Genomic DNA, 21,837 nt, shown 5'->3' on the forward strand with positions numbered 1-21,837 from the left:
TCGTTAGAACAGTAGAGGGACTGGATTATAAAATAAGAAGAAACAAACAACTCTGTCTTCATCCTCACCAGTCAGGTGGATAATTGTAAACTGGTCATATGACCATGGGTGAGGTTCTTTGAGAGCACTGAGTTATTGTAACATTTCTAAAGCCTTCAGTTTATTTGAAGGCATGGAGAAGATAATGAGGCAAAAAGCAAATAAGTCAGGAGATGAGGATGGTTTATCTTGTGGGGCCCTGAGTGTCCTGGGGGTGTTGGGCTCAGCTCCTGTGGGCAGGGCTGAGTAGCACAGATGGGTACAGCACCTAGCACCTAGGTGGCGTGAGTCCAGACCCCAGAGCCGGCCCGCCACACTCTGTCTGGGGCTGTCCACGCTTGAACTCCTCTCTGCTGCCTCACTTTCCAGTCCATGTCTGTCTTAGACCCATATGCCACATACAGTTTTTGGTAACATCATAAAGAAAGAGCTTGAAGTGAAGCTCCAAATTCCTATGAGAGATTTTTTTCATGTTTACCTTCCAGTTCTTCTACTTTCACCTACCTTGTAGGTCAAGGCCTTTTCTATACAACTCCCAGTTGCCTGATGACTTTATGATCACAGAGCTGTATCTACCCCTGTAGACTTACTGACCCTAATGACTACCTCAGAGGGAATAACAGCTGTGCAATTCATTCATCTCAGAAGAATAAAGAAAGAACTCACTTATGTGATTCAGAATCTTCCTGCATACCTGTTAGATTTTACTCAACAATATTTAGCAAGTACCTATAAATGAGTCAAACACCATGACAAGTTCTGGGCAAAAAAGTGACTTATGGTAACATCAAATGACTAGTATGCTATGGCATATAGTGTTAGAATGAATATGGTTTTCTGTTTTGTTTGGCTGGATGCCTCACACATGGCATTTTTTACACATTTTTTCCCAAATTTTATTTCTTTTTCAATATTTGTTTTATTATACAGATGGGGTCTAGCTATGTTGCCCAGGCTGGTCTCAAATTCCTGGGCTCAAGTGATCTGCCTGTCTTGGCCTCCCAAAGTGCTGGGATTACAGGCGTGAGCCACTGTGCCAGGCCCCACATTTTAAGTAGGTGTAATCAAGCCCCTTTGTTCCTGTTTCATAGGCTCTTATAGGAATTTTAAAGTCAAAATATGCTTTGAGAAAGAAATAAGATCCACACATCATGAAAGAGAGAGTCGATGACATTTGAAATTCTTTTATTATTCATTTTTTTTTTTTTTTTTTTTTTTTTTGGAGATAGTATCTTGCTCTGTTGCCCAGGCTGGAGGGCAGTGGTACAATCATGGCTCACTGCAGCCTCAATCCCTTGGGCTCAAGTGATCCTCCTGCCTCAGCCTCCTGAGTAGCTAGGAGTACAGGGCACGCACCACCATACCTGGCTAATTTTTAAAAGTTTTTTATAGAGACAGAGTCTTGCCCATGTTGCCCATGTTGGTCTCGAACACCTGGGCTCAAGCGATCCACCCACCTCATCCTTCCAATCAATTTTTAACCTTATATCACATTCACCTTCCTAAGAGATATATTTAATAAGTCCTTGAAGATGTTTGAAAATTTCTGCTGATTTCAATGGGAAAGAGAAACATTTTAGACCTACTGGGGTTTATTTAACTTCATATTGGTGAAGTTATCTTTATAAGTTATCTTTATTTTAATTCTGTTTAGGATTTGGCTCAGCAAATCAATCTGAGCCCCAAGCAACACCATAGTGCTTTGGAATGCTTGCTGCAAAGAATTGCAAAGAACGAGGCAGCCACCAATGAACTGATGCGTTGGGGGCTCCGTCTGCAAAAGGATGTACATAAGGTAAACCAAAAAACGTGATGGTGTATGCACATGTACAGAGACACGTGTGCAATATTTATGTGACTTTCCTTTTGTTGTCAGTATATTTTGAATGTTTGTCCATGTCATTTAATATTTTTCTAAGTTTTTTTTTTTTTTTTGAGACAGAGTCTTATTGGGATTACAGGTATGAACCTCTGTGCGTGGTCATATTTTTCTAAGTATTTCTAATGGCTGCCTGATACTTTTTATTAACGGTTTTCTATCCTTTTACATTCAAATTGAATTTAGTATTTTTCTATTATAAATAATGATGCAGGGCAGGCGTGGTGGCTCACGCCTGTAATCCCAGCACTTTGGGAGGCTGAGGCAGGTGGATCACCTTAGGTCAGGAGTTCGAGAAGAGCCTGGCCAGCATGGTAAAACCCCATATCTACTAAAAACACAAAAATTAGCTGAGTGTCGAGGCACGAGCCTGTAATACCAGCTACTCAGGAGGCTGAGGTAGGAGAATCACTTGAACCCGGGAGGTGGAGGTTGCAGTGAGCCAAGATGGGGCCACTGCACTCTAGCCTGGGAGACAGAGGGAGAATCCATCTCAAAAAAAATTAACTAATTTAAAAAAATAACGATGCAGTGTACATCCTTACAACTGAATCTTTGTGTGTGTTATTTATTTTTTTGAGACGGATTCCAAGTGATTCTCCTGTCTCAGCCTCCCGAATAGTTGGAATTACAGGCGCACACCACCATGCCTGGCTAATTTTTGTATTTTTAGTAGAGACGGAGTTTCACCATGTTGCCATGGCTGGTCTCTCGAGCTCCTGACCTCAAATGATCCGCCTACCTTAGCCTCCCAAAGTGTTAGGAGTACAGGTGTGAGCCACCACGCTAGCCCTTGTTTATTTTCTTTTTTCTGTTTTTTTAAGATGGGGTTTCATTCTTGTTGGCCAGGCTGGAGTGTAATGGCGCAATCTCGGCTCACTGCAACCTCCACCTCCCAGGTTCAAGCGATTCTCCTGCCTCAGCTTCCCAAGTAGCTGGGATTACAAGCACGTGCCACCACGTCCGGCTAATTTTTGTATTTTTAGTAGAGACGGGGTTTCACCATCTTGGCCAGGCTGGTCTTGAACTCCTGACCTCGTGATCCACCCGCCTTGGCCTCCCAAAGTGCTGGGATTACAGGTGTTAGCCACCACACCCGGCCCCCTTGGATATTAAGTCCAATTTATGAAGGTAAAATAATTTAGGGACATTTATGTTTTTAATACTTATATTTTATTTATTTATTTAAAAAAGTTTTTTTGAGACAGAGTCTTGCCCTGTCACCCAGGCTGGAGTGCAGTGGTGTGATCTCAGCTCACTGCAGCCTCCTCCCGGATTCAAGTAAATCTCCTGCCTCTGCCTCCCAAGTAGCTGGGGACTACAGGCATGCGCCACCACACCCAGCTAATTTTTGTATTTTTAGTAGAGACAGGGTTTCACCATGTTGGCCAGGCTGGTGTCAAACTCCTGACCTCAAGTGATCTGCCCTCCTCGGCCTCCCAAAGTGCTGGGATTACAGGCGTGAGCCACGGTGCCCGGCCCCTTTAAAATATTTTTTGAAGATTGTTTTCCTTTATTCAGTCATTCTAAATAGACAATGTTTTCAAATCCCTTTCTTGGGATATCATGTGGAAGCTTCAATAATGAAAGACTAGTACCTATAATAATTTTACCTATATAAATGTAGGTTTTTATTGACAGGGACTTTCACTGCTAGAAGCTTTATTATTCTGCTAGTCTCAAAAGTTCTAACAGGGACAAGTGTCTGTGGTGGAGCTGAGCAGGCCTTATAGAGCAGTAGCAGTGTTTTTCTAAATAGCGTTTGAAAAGGCTCATGTCATAGATGGTTTATTTTCTGTTTAGATTGAAGGACGTGTTCTGCCAATGGAAAGAATTAACTTAAAAAATACTTCGTTTATCACATCTCAGGAACTAAACTGGGTTAAGGAAGTAACCAGAGACCCTTCCATCTTGACTGTAAGTGATTTTTGAAGTGATAAAGAGAGGACCAGTATTCCCCAAAGTGTGGGAATTAGGAAGCAGGAATGATCTAGAGTCTTCTTTTTTGAGGGAAAGTACCAATTGAATCCCCATTCTGAATTACCTACTAACCAGGGATCCTTCAAACAGAGCAGTTGATGAGTTGTTAGAGGTAAGCCCTTTGCCTGACCATAGACTTAGGGAAAGGAAATAAATTGCTGTGGTAATTCACATAGTGCCAACCTGTTACCCACTCTCCCTTCTTTCTTTCTCTTTTCCCCCTCTTTTTCCCCGGGAGTATCTAGAGGGTATTTGTATCCGTGAAAGAAGTTAGATTAAAACAGTACCTCACCTAGGGAACTAATAATACACTAGCTATTTGTATCAAGGTACAAAATGGCATATAATTACTTCTCAGTGTTTTTGACCAACATGGACTTCATGGCCAGATATATAAAAACAGATATATAAAATGCATGTTTTTAAATGTTTTATTGAAATATAAACGAAAAGCACACTTATAAACGTGTAACTTGATGAGTTTTTTTTTAATTAAATAGACCTGTGTAATCCACACCAAGGGTTAAGATGCAGAACTTTACCAGCACTCCAGAAGCCCCCTCCATTCTCCCAGTTCCTGCCTATCCCTTACCCCTCACACACCCAGTATAGCCACTGTCCTGACTTTTCACAGCACAGATTGATTTTACCAATTTCTGTACTTTACATATACATGGAATCATAGATTATATATTCTTCTGTGTCTGGCTTCTTTTCTTAAATTTGTGTTAGTGAGTTTCATCCTGTTGTTAGGCATGGTTGTTGCTCTTCCATTCTCATTACTGTATAACATTCCATTTTGAGACTACGCCACAGTTTTCTTATCATGTACGTTCATGTTAATACAGGAGTTAGATAAGACAGGATTCAAGCAATGAGAGTGAAAAGTAATTTATTCTCTAGAATGAAATCTTAAGTATGAGTTTGGGATATTTAAATTGTGAGAAATACTAAAAGCTCTTGGTTGTTCCTAGATCCCCATGCATTTCTGGGCACTTTTTTACCCAAAGAGAGCAATGGACCAGGCTCGAGAACTGGTCAACATGTTGGAGAAGATAGCCGGCCCCATTGGCATGCGTATGAGCCCACCGGCCTGGGTTGAACTAAAGGATGACCGAATAGAGACTTATGTCAGAACCATTCAATCCACGTTAGGAGCTGAGGTAAAAATGTAATTCAAATAAATTTATAGGATGTCCATTTTAAATTACTTAAATACTTAATTTTAATGTATCATGGTTATCAGTCTGCTGTTGATGATGCCCTAGAACTTGTCTTACCCATGCGCACATGAAATACTGATTGAAAAGTGTTCTTTATGCCCTTTGGTTAATTTTGCTTCTCTCACTCTGTGTTGGCACCCTCACTTACTCTAGTCTTCTTTTTCTTACGTAACTGGCTGAGAGAATAGCTGACTTAACTGTGGTTCATTATCTATAGAACATGTTGTGCTCAGAAAGCAGCAGCTTGGGTTAGGTGCCGTCTTGCACGATTCACTACTGAGCTGCCTCAGTCCGGCCTGGTTCAAGATTAAAATTACTCTGGTGATGAACTTGGCAGATGGCCCATTGATTGGGTCCTGATGACTGATCAGGAACACTAGAGCTGGCCAGGTCATAGCACTCACAACTTAGTTATTCAGGCTTTTCAGTTCTTACCTGTTTGTAAATAAAATCGAACAAGAGGAATAGGGAGAGAAAAAAGCAAGGGGAAGGCTTTTGGAAGTAATTAGCCCTTGAATTGAACATTCTGGTAAATTGTTCTGGTGAGTTCAATCCTAGAATTCAATCATCTTGGCATCATAGAGTTCTTTTTTTAAATTTTTTTTTGAGAGATTGGGTCAGCTGGGCGCACAGTGGCTCACGCCTGGAATTCCAGCACGTTGGGATGCTGAGGTGGGCGGGTTGCTTGAGCCCAGGAGTTTGAGACCAGCCTGGGCAACCTGGCAAAACCCTGTCTCTACAAAAAATCTAAACATTAGCTGGGTGTGGTGGCATGCACCTGTAGTACCAGCTACTCAGGAGGCTGAGGTGGGAGAATCACCTGAGCCTGGGGAGGTTGAGGCTGCAGTGAGCTATGATCATGCCACTTTACTCCAACCTGGGCAACAGAGTGAGACCTTTTCTCCAAAAAAAAAAAAAAAAATGAGATAGGATTTTACTCTGTCACCCATGTGGAGTACACTGGTGCGATCTTAGCTCATTGTTGCCTCAAACTCCTGGGCTCAAGCAATCCTTCCGCCTCAGCCTTCCAAGTAGCTGGAACTACAGGCGTGGGCCATCACACCTGGCTAATTAAAAAAAAAAATTATAGAGGTAGGGTTTCACTATGTTGCCCAGGCTGGTCTCGAGCTTCTGGCCCCAAGTGATCCTGCTGCCTCAACCTCCCAAAGCAGTGAGATTACAGGCGTGAGTCACCATGCCCAGCAGCATTCTGTTTTTGATCTGGCACTCTTGGTGTATCATTCACAACAGCACACTTGTGTTCTTTCTTTGGTGTGTTTCTCTCTCTCTTTTTTTAGACACAAAGTCTTGACTCTGTTGCTCAGGCTAAAGTACAGTGGCATGATCATAGCTGACTGTAACATGAAACTTGAGGGCCCAAGGGATCCTCCTGCCTCAGCCTTCTGAGTAGCTGTAACTGTACACGTGCACCACCACTCCTGGCTAATTTTTAAATTTTTTGTAGAGATGGGGTCTCCTTCTGTTGCCCAGGCTGATCTCAAACTCCCAGCCTCAATCAGTCCTCCCACCTCCACCTCCCAAAGTGCTGGGATTACAGGTGTGAGCCACTGCACCCAGCCTGTGCATTCTCTATAATTCCATCCTGATCTACCATGCCTGTCATACTCTACCATGGCCTCCCTCAGACCTGATCATAGATAAGTTCTGCTCTGCTTTCAAAAGAATAACCCAGCCCAGTACATCAGCTCCCCCATTTCACAACTTGTGTTCCCTTTTTGAGAGGGTACAACTGACAGTTTTCATGTGGCATGGATGTGAATTTCATTCATATCGCTTACCAACTTATCTCATAGCGGCCTTGCTCTGTCTGTTCATCTTTAAGGCATTCCATTATCATCTCTATGAGGAATCACAAACTCGTATGTCTCCAGGAGCCTGATAAGGAGTATAAATGAGTGAAGTGGGCCAGGAGGGGAGTGAAATGAACTAAAGAGGGTAACTCCTGTGACTGGAGATATAAACCCAGGATTGCCAAAATGATTCTTAATGTGCTTGTTTGTTGGTAAAGGCCAAAAACCTGGAATTGCATATGTGTGTATCTTCCTATGTTTAAATGTTAATTTAAACAAACATAAACACTTTTAAGTCATTGTAGGGCCTGAAAAAACGCACCTGTTTGCTGTGTCCAGTCCATAGGCTCCCAGTGCGCAGCTCTGTTCTCATGCCTTTGGAAATGCTTGGTGTCGTTGCTCAATGTGTCCTCTGAACAGTCTTAACATTACACCAATCTTGATTTGGAGTAGGGTACCACTGATTTACCATTTGTAGCAGTTTCTGGCTTAAAGGGTTGGCAACCTTCTTTCACTTGAGTGCTGCTTTTCTTTATTCAGGCTTTGAAAGGTCCTCTTTTTTCAATATTGGATTCCTTCAGCAGTGAGGAATAGATGATACTGACATGCTGTGCTGCTGACAATATCATTCTGTCTCTTCACCAGAGTTAGGAGTGGCTGCTCATGAATTTGGCAATAGCTTCATTCCAGTTTGCATTTAGTTCTGAATGCTTTCTTGTAGTATTGCATTCCCTGTTTCCTTGGTTAAAGTTCTGTGGTATGAGTGTAATAAGTTGTTTAGTAAACCAAAGAGAGTAGTAAAAAACATTATACTGAATTGGAAGCAGCAAGTAATGTAAACCTTGCATGCATTCAAACCTGGTCCTTTTCCAGCCATCTGAGTCTTCTAATAGATAAATCTTTTGGTAATCAGGGCCAGCTCTGGGTAATTAATAGTAACATATTACCTATCTATACAGAACAGCCCTGAGCCAAAGAATGCTAATTCAGCTCCAAGGACCTTGTTCTGGTTGGAATGTCCACCCTCTTTATTTCAGTTCCCTGTCTTCCTTAAAGGTCCTATGGCTTTGCATACTCAGAATACTGCCAACTAGAGTCCTGTAAAAGTCCCCAGAGAATTCCACAGCCTGACTTGTATATACCTTATCTCCTCAAGGGGAAGATACAGATGGTTGTTTGCATCATCATGGGCCCACGTGATGATCTCTATGGGGCCATCAAGAAGCTGTGCTGTGTGCAGTCCCCAGTGCCCTCCCAGGTGAGTGGGTGTTGGGGCAGGAGGCGCAGATGGCACCTCTCGCCTCCCCGAGGCTTGAGAAGAGGGATATGTGTGTTCACAAAGACTAAAGTAGCTGTTAGAAGCCAGTATGTGCTGAGCCTTCTGGTGAAAGGTTCTCCTGATTAGAGCAACCTGGCAAAGAGTAGATTGCTCTTCATAAGCTGCCCTCATGCTTCCAAATGAACAGTTTCGCTTGTTCCGAGGTTGAGTCACCAGGTGGTTTCATGTGACTGAGTTCTGAGAGTGAATATAGGCTTCATTCTGAAAGGGGAAAGCTATTTTTCCTATGGGAGTTAAAAAAGCATTCCACTCTGCGTGAGATCCTTTTGAAAGTTTTCATTTGTTGGTTTTATTTTGTTTTGGGTTTGTGGTGTGTGTGTATGTGTGTGTGTGTGTGTTGTATTTTGCCCATGTGCATGCATGCCTAGAAACCCTAGAATTAGAATTATTAATGCGAAATGTGTTATCTTCTAACTTGAGTTTCTTAAACAAATGTAATGTTTACTTTAGAGTTCAGATTTTCTGAGAGGTTGATAGTGACCTGCTTCTCCTGACACCTTTTGGTCCCTTCATTATAGGTTGTCAATGTTCGAACCATTGGTCAGCCCACCAGGCTTCGGAGTGTGGCCCAGAAGATTTTACTTCAGATTAACTGTAAATTGGGTGGTGAGCTCTGGGGAGTGGATATTCCTCTGGTGAGTGATGCCGAGATGGTTCAGTTTGCCTCTCCAGAGAATCCTCCAAGCTGTTTTCCTGTTTTTCCTTATTCGTTATGCTTCCTCTTCTCAACACTTACTCAGTAGTCTAAATGGCTCCCTGCCTCTTCAGCCCATTATCTAAGAATGGGTTTTATGTTTGTTTGTTTTTTGTTTTTTGTGTTTTTGAGACGGATTCTTGTTCTTGTCGCCCAGGTTGGAGTGCGATGGCACGATCTTGGCTCACTGCAACGTCCACCTCCCAGGTTCAAGCAATTCTCCTGCCTCAGCCTCCTGAGTAGCTGGGATTACAGGTGCCCGCCACCATACCCAGCTAATTTTTGTATTTTTAGTACAGATGGGATTTCACCATGTTGGCCAGGCTGGTCTCAAACTCCTGACCTGGTGATCTGCCCACCTCAGCCTTCCAAAATGCTGGGATTACAGGTGTGAGCCACCATGCCCAACCTGGTTTTTATGTTTTTAAATGGCGGAAAAAATAAAACTAAGATGATTATTCCGTGACACATGAAAATTATATGAAGTGAGTTTTCAGTGTCTTTAAATAAAATTTCACTGGAATACAGCCATACTCCTTTTCATACTGTCCATGACTGCTTTTGTGTTAAGCAGATAGAATTAAATAAAGGTCAAGTATGCTTTTTCTGAAATACTTGGGACCAGAAGCATTTTGGATTTTAGATTTCTGGGGGTTTGGGTTCATTTGCTTGCATCCCAAATTCAAAAATCTGCAATCTGAAACACTCCAAAATCTGAAACTCTTTGAGTGTCATGTCGGTGCTCAAAAGCTTTTCAGATTTGGGAATGCTCAACCTGTGTTTTCTACAGAAATCATAAGACTCACAAAGCCTAAGTTATTTACCCTTTAGTCCTTTGCTGATCCCTGATCTAGATCTTAACTGTGCTTATTGTGTTTAAAAAATGTCAAGTTGATTGTCTTTTTTTTTTCTTTCCCAGAACTTACTTTCATGTATAAACAGTAAGGGGAGGTTGCTTTGGGATTCAGACAGTAATTAAAAATGGAGGAATGCATTGCTCAGGTCTGGGGTTTGGTTTTTGTTTTTGTTTTCTAAACTAGAAACAGTTAATGGTGATCGGGATGGATGTTTACCATGACCCCAGTAGAGGCATGCGCTCCGTGGTTGGCTTCGTGGCAAGCATCAATCTGTAAGTACTGCTCACAGTGCCATCTTGTTTGATTATTTCATTTTAGTGCCTAATCTTATTATAAATCCAGCAAATCTTTTTAGCATTATGTATTACAATATAAAGATTTCTAAACATTTTCTTCCTCTATCTTCATGTGAATTTTTTTTTTCGGGGGGGAGGGGTGGAAATGGAGTCTCCCTCTGTCACCCAGGCTGGAGTGCAGTGGTGCTATCTTAGCTCACTGCAGCCTCCACCTTCTGGGTTCAAGTGATTCTCCTGCCTCAGCCTCCCCAGTAGCTGGGATTACAGGTGCGCACCACCATGCCAGGCTAATTTTTGTATTTTTAGTAGAGACAGCGTTTCACCATGTTGGCCAGGCTGGTCTTGAACACCTAACCTCAGGTGATCCGCCCACCTCAGCCTCCCACAGTGCTTGGATTACAGGCGTGAGCCATCATGCCCGGCTATGAAATTTGTTTATGCAACTTTTTTTTTTTTTGAGACTGGGATTTACTCCACTGGAGTGCAGTGGCATGATCACAGCTCACTGCAACCTCAACCTCCCTGGGTTTTGGTGATCCTCCCACCTCAGCCTCCCGAGTAGCTGGGACCACAAGCATGTGCCACCATACCCAGCTAATTTTTGTAGAGACAGGGTTTCACCATGTTGCCCAGGCTGGTCTCAAACTCCTGGGCTTAAGTGATCCACCTGCCTCAGTCTCCCAAAGTGCTGGGATTACAGGCATGAGCACTGCACCTGGCTTTGCAGCTTATTTAACAAACTTGGCACGGGTGTGAATGTGCTTCCCAGCTGAAGAGCGACCTCCTCCAAGGCTGGGGCTGTGCTGCCTTGTTGTTGGCATTTTTCCCCCAGAAATGAGGTTTTTTTGATTGTTTGTTCCAACTGTAAAAATAAGCCATGCTCATCCCAAATATCTGCAGAAATTGAGAAAGTGAGAATTCCTCATGGTCCAGCTTTTATTCATATTAACAGTTGCCAAAGGTTTGATGTATATATACTTTCAGATTCTCTTCTATGCCTATATTAACACATACATGTGATATATATCTCTGAAACACACACACACACATATATATATTTGTACAAATGGGATATTGCTAGGCATACTATTCCTTAGCTTAATATGCAGTTAAACTGTACATTTTCCTGTATCATTACAAATAAATCTCCACCAACTCAACTGCTGCTCAGAATTTATTCTGTGTATCATTATTTAACCAATCCTCTCTTGGTGGATATCTTAAGTTGTTAAATTTTTTCTATTGGAGCAGTTTTTGTAGGAAATATCCACAATTACACTTTTTTTAAATTTTTTATTTATTTATTTATTTATTTTTTTTGAGACAGAGTCTCGCTCTGTCGCCCAGGCTGGAATGCAATGGCACAGTCTCAGCTCACTGCAAGCTCCGCCTCCCAGGTTCACGCCATTCTCCTGCCTCAGCCTCCCGAGTAGCTGGGACTACAGGTGTCCGCCACCACGCCCGGCTAATTTTTTTTGTACTTTTAGTAGAGACGGGGTTTCACCGTGTTAGCCAGGATGGTCTCGATCTCCTGACCTCGTGATCTGTCCACCTTGGCCTCCCAAAGTGCTGAGATTACAGGCATGAGCCACCGCGCTCTGCCACAATTACACGTTTTTATGTTCTGCATATGACTTAAATATGTCTTTTCTCCATGTCACTGCTTGTTCTTACATATAAATGCATTTTCTAGGTACTTGTTTTTGGATTGATTGGTAGAGAAACCTGTGTTACTGACATAAGCCATAGGCTGTCCCCTTCGAGCATTTGTTCATCTTCCTTTCTCTGTCTCTCTGCTCACCCTGACCCTAGCACCCTCACAAAATGGTATTCCCGGGTGGTGTTCCAGATGCCGCATCAGGAGATTGTGGACAGCCTGAAGCTATGCCTCGTGGGCTCCTTAAAAAAGTTTTATGAGGTGAGGAGAACAGAAATTCTCAGGCTTCTGGGGTTTTTTGTTTTTTTATTTTTTTTTTTGAGACAGAGTCTCACTCTTGTCGCCCAGGTTGGAGTGCAGTGGTGCGATCTCTGTTCACTGCAACCTCTGCCTCCTGGGTTCAAGCGGTTCTCCTGCCTCAGCCTTCCAAGTAGCTGGGATTACAGGCGTGCACCAGCACGTCCAGTTAATTTCTGTATTTTTAGTAGAGATGTGGTTTCACCATGTTGGCCAGGCTGGTTTCGAACTCCTGACCTCAGGTGATCTGCCTGCCTGGGCCTCCCAAAGTGTTGGGATTACAGCTGTGAGCCACCGCGCCTGGCCAAGTTTCTGGGATTTTAAGGATTACCTATGTGAACACTTTACAGGAAGTCTGATGTGGTGAGAGGGATCTCAAATCAAAGGTGAGTCTCCTAAACAGCTGCTACTGAGCAGGCAGCTCAGAGCTCCTCCTTTCAGGCTTCAGCTTGTACAGATCAGCTTAAAGAGCTAAATGCTTTCATTTGGTTTAGTAAGTAATAATTTTTTCTCAGGTTGTCAGCCTGATGTCTCTAGACATAATCTTCATGCCCTTATCGGGGAAGTTGGGGATAAGTTTCAGCAATTAAAGCAGCTTATGAGTGTACTCAGCTTTTTATAACTTATTAGGCGCTGGCTCTTTTCATTTTGGTTCAAGACAAATGCCTCCTTATAAATCACCCCTCGAACTCTAAAGAATGCTAACCATGGAGGATTGCTATAATTAAGCTGATACTGGATCTAGAACAGTGAGCAAGCAAGGTACTGATTTCTGCCTTGGCCAGTACATCAAAGGAAGCACTGATAAGTGCCTTTCATTTCTTAGGGTCAGGGTTAGACCTTAACCTTTGCATAGAGGCTAAGCAGCAAGAAATGTCGTAATTTCATATGATTGAACTCAGTCTCTAAGGCTCCACCTTGTCTCTTTATAGAATAATGTTTCCTATAGCATCCTGCAAATACTTTAATACTGTTCAGTTATTAGAGGTTATTTTTTTTTAAAGTCTGTCTCCAGCAAGGTCCATATGTTATGCTACTGAGTCACCAAGTTCTACCAGACTTTCCTTTTTGTTGTTGTTCTAATTGTTTTCCTTCGAAGTTTGATCTGTCTTCTAATACCTATCTGTGAAGACTTTTCCCTTCTTCCCTCACTGCTCCATTCTTAAGCTGCCTTATATTTGTTATTTATCCATCCCACTGGGTTGTATCCTTATTTATGCATCCCACTGGGTTGTAAATTACTTGAACACTGGTTGTGGATGGCTATGTAGCAAATTACCCTGAAACTTAGTGGCATGAAATGAGCAAGTTTGATGTTCACAATCAGGAACTGGACAAGGCACAGCCGAGGGCTCCATTTCTCCATGTGGGCCTTGTTGTATGGTCTTTTCACATGGGCTCTTTGGGCCTCCTCCTTGCATGCTGGCTGGATTCAAAGCCTGAATGTTCCACAAGACAGAGTGCTGGTGGAAGTCATGCTGCATTTTATGCCTTAACTGTGGAAGTAATGCAGTATCACTTCTGCTGCATTCTAATTGTCCAAGGAGTCACAAAGTCCCACCCAGCTTTGAGGGGAGGGCAGTTGATTCCACCTTCTAATCCAAGGGTGGCAAGGGTCTGAAAGAACATGTGGCACCAGAGATATTGCTGTGGCTATTTTCTTTTTTTGAGACAGGGTCTCACTCTGGTTGCCCAGGCTGGAGTGCAGTGGCACAATCTCGGCTCACTGCAACCTCTGCCTCCCAGGCTCAAGCGATTCTCCTGCCTCAGCCTCCTGAATAGCTGGGATTATAGGCATGTGACACCACACCTGGCTAATTTTTGTATTTTTAGTAGAGACAGGGTTTCGGCGTCTTGGCCAGGCTGGTCTTGAACTCCTGACCTCATGATCCACGCTTCTCAGCCTCCCAAAGTGCTAGGATTACAGGTGTGAGCTGCTGCGCCCGGCTTTTTTTTTTTTTTTTTTTTTTGAGACGGAGTCTCACTCTGTAACCCAGGCTGGAGTACAGTGGCGCAATCTCAGCTTACCACAACCTCTGTCTGCTTCCCGGATTCAAGCAATTCAACTGCCTCAGCCTCCCGAGTAGCTGGGATTACCTGCATGTGCCACAAGACCCAGGTAATTTTTTTTTTTATTTTTAGTAGAGACGGGGTTTTGCCATGTTGGCCAGACTGGGCTGGTCTCGAACTCTTAATCTCAAGTGATCCGCCCGCCTCAGCCTCTCAAAGTGCTGAGATTATAGGTGTGAGCCACCATGTCTGGCCTGCTGTGGCCATTTTCTTTTCTTCTTTTTTTGAGACGGAATTTCACTCTTATTGCCCAGGCTGAAGTGCAATGGCACAATCTGGGCTCACTGCAGCCTCCGCCTCCCGGGTTCAAGCAATTCTCCTGCCTCAGCCTCCCATGTAGCTGGGATTACAGGTGCCCGCCACCACGCCTGGCTAATTTTTTTGCATTTTTAGTAGAGATGGGGTTTTGCCACGTTGGCCAGGCTGGTCTCAAACTCCTGACCTCAGGTGATCCACCCCCCTCAGCCTCTCAAAGTGCTGGGATTATAGGCGTGAGCCACCGTGCCTAGCCACTGTGGCTATTTTGTAAAAGTGCAGTCTGCTGCAAGCACAGGGACTGTCTTGATTCCTTTTCCATCTCTTACACTACTAAGCTGACACTCCTGGTGATTTACGTTGAATTTCTAGTATCACAATTCTATTCTAAGTCAATTAACAGTTTGTTTTGGTCTCTGTTTCTTTATCTGAACTATGAACTTAAGTAGTATTTATTAAATTCTGTAGAACCAGATCAAAGAAAAAATAAATTTGTTTTTAAATCTAGAATAAAACTGGCTCATCTGAATATAAATGTTCTCTGAATCAAAAGAATTTTTTTTTTTTTGAGACAGGTTCTTGCTCTGCCTCATCCTCCAGAGTAGCAGGGACTACAGGCATATGCCACCAAGCCTGGCTAATTGTTAAAAATTTTTAGTAGAAATGAGGTGTTGCTATTTTGCCCAGGCTGGTCTGGAACTCCTGGGCTCAAGCGATCCTCCCACCTCAGCTTCCCAAAGTGCTGGGATTACGGGCATGAGCCACTGCGCCTGGCCAAAAGGTTTCATTTCTTTCAGGTCCTCATTATTGGCTTAGTCCTATGCCAGCTTTTGCCATTTCCCCAGTTGTTCTGCACCTAGTGGAAGGAATCTTTGTATTTAAACTGTTTTGCAAAATGAAGACCTCATCTCTACAAAAAAATTGAAAAAATAAGCCAGGCTTGGTGGCATGCACCTGTAGTCCCACTTCTTCAGGAGGCTGAGGTGGGAGGATCCCTTAAGCCTAGGAGTCCAGTGCTCCAGTGAACTATGATCATGTCAGCCCGGTTGACAGAGCCTGCCTCTAAAACAAATAAAATAAAAAATAAACGATTTTGATCATGCCTCTCCCAGAGCTTATCCTGACTCAGCAGCCTCAACAAATTTGCTTTGGGGTTCTAAGATTCTGACTACCTCTGGACTCCCCATTTTTATTAATATCTTCCCCTAGGAATGGCAGTAACCACCGGAAGTTCCAACACCTCCGAACAGTTGCCGCCTTACACATTTTCAGCCCCATTTTGCATCACGGCTCGCTAGTCCAAAGCCCATTTTCTCCATTCTAAATCTCTCACTTGTCCTCTGGACTCGCATGCAATAATAAAATGCTTCCAAATACTGTTTTGGTTTTTTTTTTTGTAAATAAACTTTTTATTTTGGAATAAAAGTTGCAAAATAGGTTAGAGGATAGAGTTCCCATACATCCTTCATCCAGTTTTCCCTCATTGTCAACGTCTTGCCTTGCTAGCTGTGTTACATAAATGTTTCCAAATATTCTTATCCTTTTCCTTGAATAGTTGATTTTGCTCTTCTCCTTTTTCTGTAACTAGGCTTTTCCTTGATGAATACATGCCCCTCCCCCCCACCTTTTTTTTTGAGACAGGGTTGCTCTGTTGCCTGGGCTGGAGTGTAGAGTCACAGTCTCGGTTCACTGCAGCCTCAACCTCCTGGGCTCAAGGGATCCTCCCACCTCAGCCTCCCAAGTAGCTGGGACTGCAGGCACATACCACCACACCCAGCTAATTTTTGTATTTTTTGTAGAGACAGAGGGTCACTATATTGCTCAGGCTGGTCTCAAACTGAGGCTGATCTCAAACTCCTGGCCTCAAGCTATCCGCCTACTCAGCGTCCCAGAGTGCTGGGATTATAGCTGTGAGCCACTGAGCCCAGCTGAATACCCTGTCCTGTCCCGTCCCGTCCTGTCCCGTCCCATCCCATCTTGTCCTGTCCTGTCCTTTCCTTTCCTTGTCCTGTCCTTGTCCTGTCCTTTTTTGTCCTGTCCTTTACAGGCACATGCCACCACACCCAGCTCAGTTTTGTATTTTTAGTAGACACGGGATTTCACTGTGTTGGCCAGGCTTGTCTCGAACTCCTGACCTTAAGTGATCCGCCTGCCTTGGCCTCCCAAAGTGCCGGGATTACAGACGTGAGCCACTGTGCCCAGCTGAATACCGTTTTCTTAGAATTATCTCAGGTTGTGATTACTCTCATATCTCAAGAGCCAGACACCTTCCCCAGGCCAGTTGTTGTTGTTGTTGTTTGAGGCAGAGTCTCTCTCTGTTGCCAGGCTGGAGTGCAGTGGTATGATCTCGGCTCACTGCAACTTCCGCCTCCCCGGTTCAAGCACTTCTGCCTCAGCCTTCCGAGTAGCTGGGACCACAGGCACACACCACCACACCCAGCTAATTTTTGTATTTTCAGTAGAGACGGGGTTTCACTGTGTGGGCTAGGGCTAGGATAGTCTTGATCTTTTTTTTTTTTTTTTTTTTTTGAGACAGAGTCTTGCTCTGTCGCCCAGGCTGGAGTGCAGTGGCACATTCTCGGCTCACTGCAACCTCCGCCTCCCGGGTTCAAGCAATTCTTCTGCCTCAGCTTCCCGAGTAGCTGGGACTATAGGCGTGTGCCACCATGCCTGGCTAATTTTTGTATTTTTAGTAGAGACGGGGTATCACCATGTTGGCCAGGCTGGTCTCGAACTCCTGACCTCGTGATCCGCCGGCCTCAGCCTCCCAAAGTGCTGGGATTATAGGCATGAGCTACCGCGCCCAGCCAGTCTTGATCTCTTGACCTCGTGATCCACCCACTTCAGCTTCCCAAAGTGCTGGGATTATAGGCGTGAGCCACAGTGCCCAGCCCAGTCATTTTTTTTAAATCAGTGTTACATCTTGGAGTGTCTTTAACTTAATTTCCCAACACAATTGATTATTAATATCAGCATCATCATAAGACTTGTTTACAATGAGTTAGTTGAATCTTCCCAACAATATTAGTGTTATTTCATCTCATAGTACAATAGTAGATATAACCTGAAATGTAAGAGTCAAAGATACTGGCACATTACTAGAGTCCTACTCAGTCATAAATAATTAGTCCAGATTATCATCATACTGCATGATTAAAGTGTCTCCCAGATATGTGCCACTTAGGTTTGCAGGCTTCCATTCTACATTGTCAGTTTTCAAAAGCAGGAGTCCTCTCAGTAACATGGCTTTACCCCTTTAGGCATCCCATTTAGTTGAGCTAACAAACAATATCACATCTTGCTCTAAGCCTCTCCCAAGGCACCAGTAGAATATTGGATTTTGGGCTGGGCTTGGTGGCTCATGCCTATAATCCCAGCACTTTGGGAGTCTGAGGTGGGTGGATGGCTTGAGGTTAGGAGTTCAAGACCAGCCTGACCAACATGATGAAACCCTGTCTTTACTAAAAATACAAAAATTAGCTGGGCGTGGTGGTGGGCACCTGTAATCTCAGCTACTTGGGAGGCTGAGGCAGGAGAATCACTTGAACCTGGGAGGTGAAGGTTGTAGTGTGCCAAGATCACGCCACTGCGCTCCAGTCTGGGCGACAAAGCAAGACTTTGTCTCAAAAAAAAGGAATATTGGATTTTGCTCACTGTATAACCATTTATTCTTTCCCTAATCCTCAGATATCATTCTTCCTTCTCTCCATTTATACCCCCACCTTTCCACTTTTGAAAGGGACATTAAGTTTGGCCACTGTGCTGATCTAGACTGCCGGCAGCAATACTAGCCTAGCAAACGTCTCCCACTCAGTCTACTCCCATTCATATAGAGCAGTGTTACACAGGTACAGAACTAGTGGGTTTTCTCTACTACTAGGCAACATAACTGCATTCCCTGTGAACCCCAGTTTTGCCAGATGGAATGAAGGTACAGTTCACCCCCATCAGGTCCTTAGGAACTCTAACATGAAGGTTTAAAAGTATAGTTCTTGCTTAGAGCTTGTTATGAGTTTGTGCTCCCAAGAAGATGAAGTCCCAATCCCCAGTACCTGTGAATGTAACCTTGTTTGGAAATAAAGTCTTTGCATATGATTAAATTAAAATGAGGTCATTAGAATGGGCCCTGCTTCAATATGACTATGTTTTTATGAAGAGAGGAAATTTAGACACAGAGGCAGACACACATAGACGGAAAATAATCTGAAGACACGGAGAACACCTATCTGTAAGCCAAGAGACACCTGAGAATCCCAGAAGCTAGGAGAGAGGCATGAACAGATCTTTTTCTTTACAACCCTCAGAAGGTCTGTAAACACCTTGATTTTGAACTTCTAGCCTCCAGAACTGTGAGACAATAAGTTTCTGTTGTTTAAGCCAGCTTGTTTTGTATGACAGCCGTAGCAGACTAATACAGAAGTCATCCCAGCTTCTGGCACCTACAGTGTAGGAATACTACATCAGGTAGGAAAAAAAGACTGTTGAGGTCATGTGGGAAAGAAAGAAAAAAGTATAGTTGTACCACATCCTGCCCCCAGGGAAGAATTATAAAGTCACAATAGCATCCTGCCCACTCCACTTCCTTCGATTCAGCAGAAAAAGGGGAGAAATCTACCTAGTGGAGATGTTTGCTAGGCTCTGGCCCTGTTGAGTGTGAGCACACACTCCTGAAAGTGTGTAAGCCAGCCCTTCAGGTTTTCCTTTCTTCCACTTTAGACAACAGATGTTTCAGATGCCCATTCTAATTCTCTATCAAACCATTACTGTGAGGATGAAAGTATGTTCTTTGGTTTGAAGAAATGGGACTCCATGGTCTAAAATGATGCATTATCTTTTGATTTAGTCTTTTTTTTTTTTTTTTTTTTTTGAGACAGTCTCATTCTGTCACCCAGGCTGGAGTGCAGAGACGTGATCTCCATTCACTGCAACCTCCACCTCCCAGGTTCAAGTGATTCTCCTGTCTCAGCCTGCCAAGTAGCTGGGATTACAAGCGTGCGCCACCACACCCAGCTAATTTTTGTATTTTTAGTAGAGATGGGATTTCACCATGTTGACCAACCTGGTCTCAGACTCCTGACCTCAAGTGATCTCCCTGCCTCAGCCTCCCAAAGTGCTGGGATTACAGGTGTGACCCATCGCGCCCAGCCTTGTTTTAGTCCTTTCATAGTATTTTGGGCATTTGCATCTACCAGCAGGTATGCAAAATCCAGTCTGTAGTAAGTAAGTGTCTGCTCATGTCAGGCACTGTCACAGCCTCCTGGGACTACCAGAGTAAGTCCAACTTGCCAGCCAAGTGCAGAGCCTTACTGCTGGGGAATCTGCTCCATAGCCATCCGCACTCTCTTGTTCAGAAAGAACAGTTGTTGATAGTGCTTCACAGGGTTCAAGAGGAACATGTAGAATAGATTCAGCCTATCTCTGCACTGCTGTAGTTCTCCAGTGTCTACTCATTTCATGGAGCCAGATGGACTTCCTCAAGCAAGGAAACTGGGATATCCACTCCCAGAGTTCCCCTCGCCTTCCCAGCCTGGAAGGTTTTACTGTTGGCCATCAACATGTCCTGCTTGCTTGCTTTAAAAAAAAAAAAAATTGAGGTGAAATAGGTGAGGTTTAGTGGCTCGTGTCTGTAATCCCAGCACTTTGGGAGGCCAAGGCAGGTGGATTGCTTGAGCTCAGGAATATGAGACCAGCCTGGGCAACATGGTGAAACCCCCATCTCTATAAAAAATAGAAAAATTAGCTGGGCGTGGTGGTACATGCCTGTAGTCCCAGGTACTTGGGGGGCTGAGGTAAGAGGATCTCTAGTTTAAAAACATTTTCATCACCGCATAAAAACACCCCATGCCCATTAAATAATCATTCCTTATTCACACCTTCTCCTAATTTCTGGTAACATCTAATTTGCTTTTTGTCTCTACTGATTTGTCTATTTTGCCTATATTGTAGAGTAATTTTAAAATGTGTGACCTTTTGTGTTTAGCTTACTTCACTGAACATGTTTTCAAGGTTTATCTGTGTTGTAGCATATATTAATACTTTTTTCCTTTTTGTGGCTGTATAATATTCCATTGTATTTATTCCACGATTTGTTGATCCTTTCACTTGTTGATAAACATTTGGGCTGTTCTCACATTTTGACTATTGTGAATAATGCTGCTGTAAACATTCCTGAACAAGTATTTGTTTAAGTTCCCATTTTCAGTTCTTTTTGATATATACCTAGGAGTGAAATTACAGGGTCATATAGTAGTTCTGTGTTTAACGTTTAGAGGAACCACCAAGCTGTTTTGCCCAGTGGCCAAGCATCATTTTACATTCCTACCAGTAATGCAGAAGTTTTCAGTTTCTCCAAACAATTGCCAACAATTGCTATTTTCTGTTTTTTTACTTTTTTTTTTTTTTTTTTTTTGAGACAGAGTCTTGCTCTCTCACCCAGGCTGGCGTGCAGTGACACGATCTTGGCTTACTGCAGCCTCCACCTCCTAAGTTCAAGAGATTGTCCTGTCTCAGCGTCCTGAGTAGCTGGGGATTCCAGGTGCACGCCACCACACCCAGCTAATTTTTGTTTTGTTTTGTTTTTAGTAGAGATGGGGTTTCACCATGTTGGCCAGGCTGGTCTCGAACTCCTGACCTCAGGTGATCCGCCCAGCTCAGCCTCCCAAAGTGAGGCACCACGCCTGGCCTTTTCAGTTTTTTTAAATCATCACTGTTTTTTGTGGGGTTTTTTGTTTCGTTTTTTTTTTTTTTTGAGACGGAGTTTCACTCTTGTTGCCCAGGCTGGAGTGCAATGGCGCGATCTTGACTCACCACAACCTCCACCTCCCGGGTTGAAGCGATTCTCCTGCGTCAGCCTCCTGAGTAGCTGGGATTACAGGCATGCACCACCACGCCCAGCTAATTTTGTATTTTTAGTAGAGACGGGGTTTCTCCATGTTGGTCAGGCTGGTCTCAAGCTCCCGACCTCAGGTGATCCGCCTACCTTGGCCTCCCAAAGTGCTGGGATTACAGGCATGAATCACCATGCCCGGCTTGAATCATCACTGTTGTGAAGTATCTCATTGTGGTTTTGACTTGCGTTTCTTAATGACCAGTGATGTTGAACATCCTTCATGTGCTTGTTGCTCGTTTGTGTCATTCAAATCCTTTGCCCATTTAAATTGGGCTATTTGTCGTTTTGTTGTTGAGTCGTAGGAGTTTTTAAAATATTCTGGAAACTATACTCTTATCTGATGTATGATTTACAAATATCTCCCCCCATTCTTTAGATTTTCACTTGCTTGATAATGGTCTCTGCTGCACGAAAATTTTAAATTTTGATAACATGCAATTTATCTATTGTATCTTTTGTTCCTTATGGTTTTGGTGCTCAATCTAAGAATTCATTGCCAAATCCAAGGTCATAAAAGCTTGTCCCCTGTTTTTTTTTTCTAACAATGTTAT

The 21,837-nt window shown here is 43.4% G+C and overlaps 1 protein-coding gene across 6 annotated transcripts in view, besides 2 other annotated features; it reads left to right on the top strand.

Moving 5' to 3' along the window:
- Positions 1-21,837, top strand: part of PIWIL2 (piwi like RNA-mediated gene silencing 2) — an 82,253-nt gene that overhangs the window by 30,924 nt on the left and 29,492 nt on the right. For 4 of the 6 annotated variants that reach the window (NM_018068.5, NM_001330480.2, NM_001135721.3 and 1 more), the window contains exons 14-20: positions 1,694-1,834; positions 3,722-3,835; positions 4,873-5,061; positions 8,089-8,190; positions 8,790-8,906; positions 10,006-10,094; positions 11,931-12,036. In NM_018068.5, coding sequence (NP_060538.2) covers positions 1,694-1,834; positions 3,722-3,835; positions 4,873-5,061; positions 8,089-8,190; positions 8,790-8,906; positions 10,006-10,094; positions 11,931-12,036 — 858 coding nt within the window. Of the gene's footprint in view, positions 1-1,693; positions 1,835-3,721; positions 3,836-4,872; positions 5,062-8,088; positions 8,191-8,789; positions 8,907-10,005; positions 10,095-11,930; positions 12,037-15,606; positions 15,775-21,837 lie in introns of those variants that run through there. The other 2 variants (XM_005273551.5, XM_047421925.1) reach the window with 1 other exon arrangement.
- Positions 12,333-12,502: an enhancer, noted in NCBI's record as "experimental_102863 CRE fragment used in MPRA reporter constructs". NCBI's record gives its function as "activates a minimal promoter by MPRAs in K562 erythroleukemia cells, with activity observed for the non-introgressed 8:22176170 or rs75592735 variant allele {active_cell/tissue: K562}" and the evidence as "EXISTENCE:reporter gene assay evidence [ECO:0000049][PMID:34662402]".
- Position 12,418: a transcriptional cis regulatory region, noted in NCBI's record as "Neanderthal adaptively introgressed variant 8:22176170 (GRCh37/hg19 assembly coordinates) or rs75592735 in the experimental_102863 CRE". NCBI's record gives its function as "modulates activity of the experimental_102863 enhancer by MPRAs in K562 erythroleukemia cells {active_cell/tissue: K562}" and the evidence as "EXISTENCE:reporter gene assay evidence [ECO:0000049][PMID:34662402]".

Source organism: Homo sapiens, chromosome 8 (assembly GCF_000001405.40).
Source record: "Homo sapiens chromosome 8, GRCh38.p14 Primary Assembly".
Classification (NCBI taxonomy): Eukaryota; Metazoa; Chordata; class Mammalia; order Primates; family Hominidae; genus Homo; species Homo sapiens.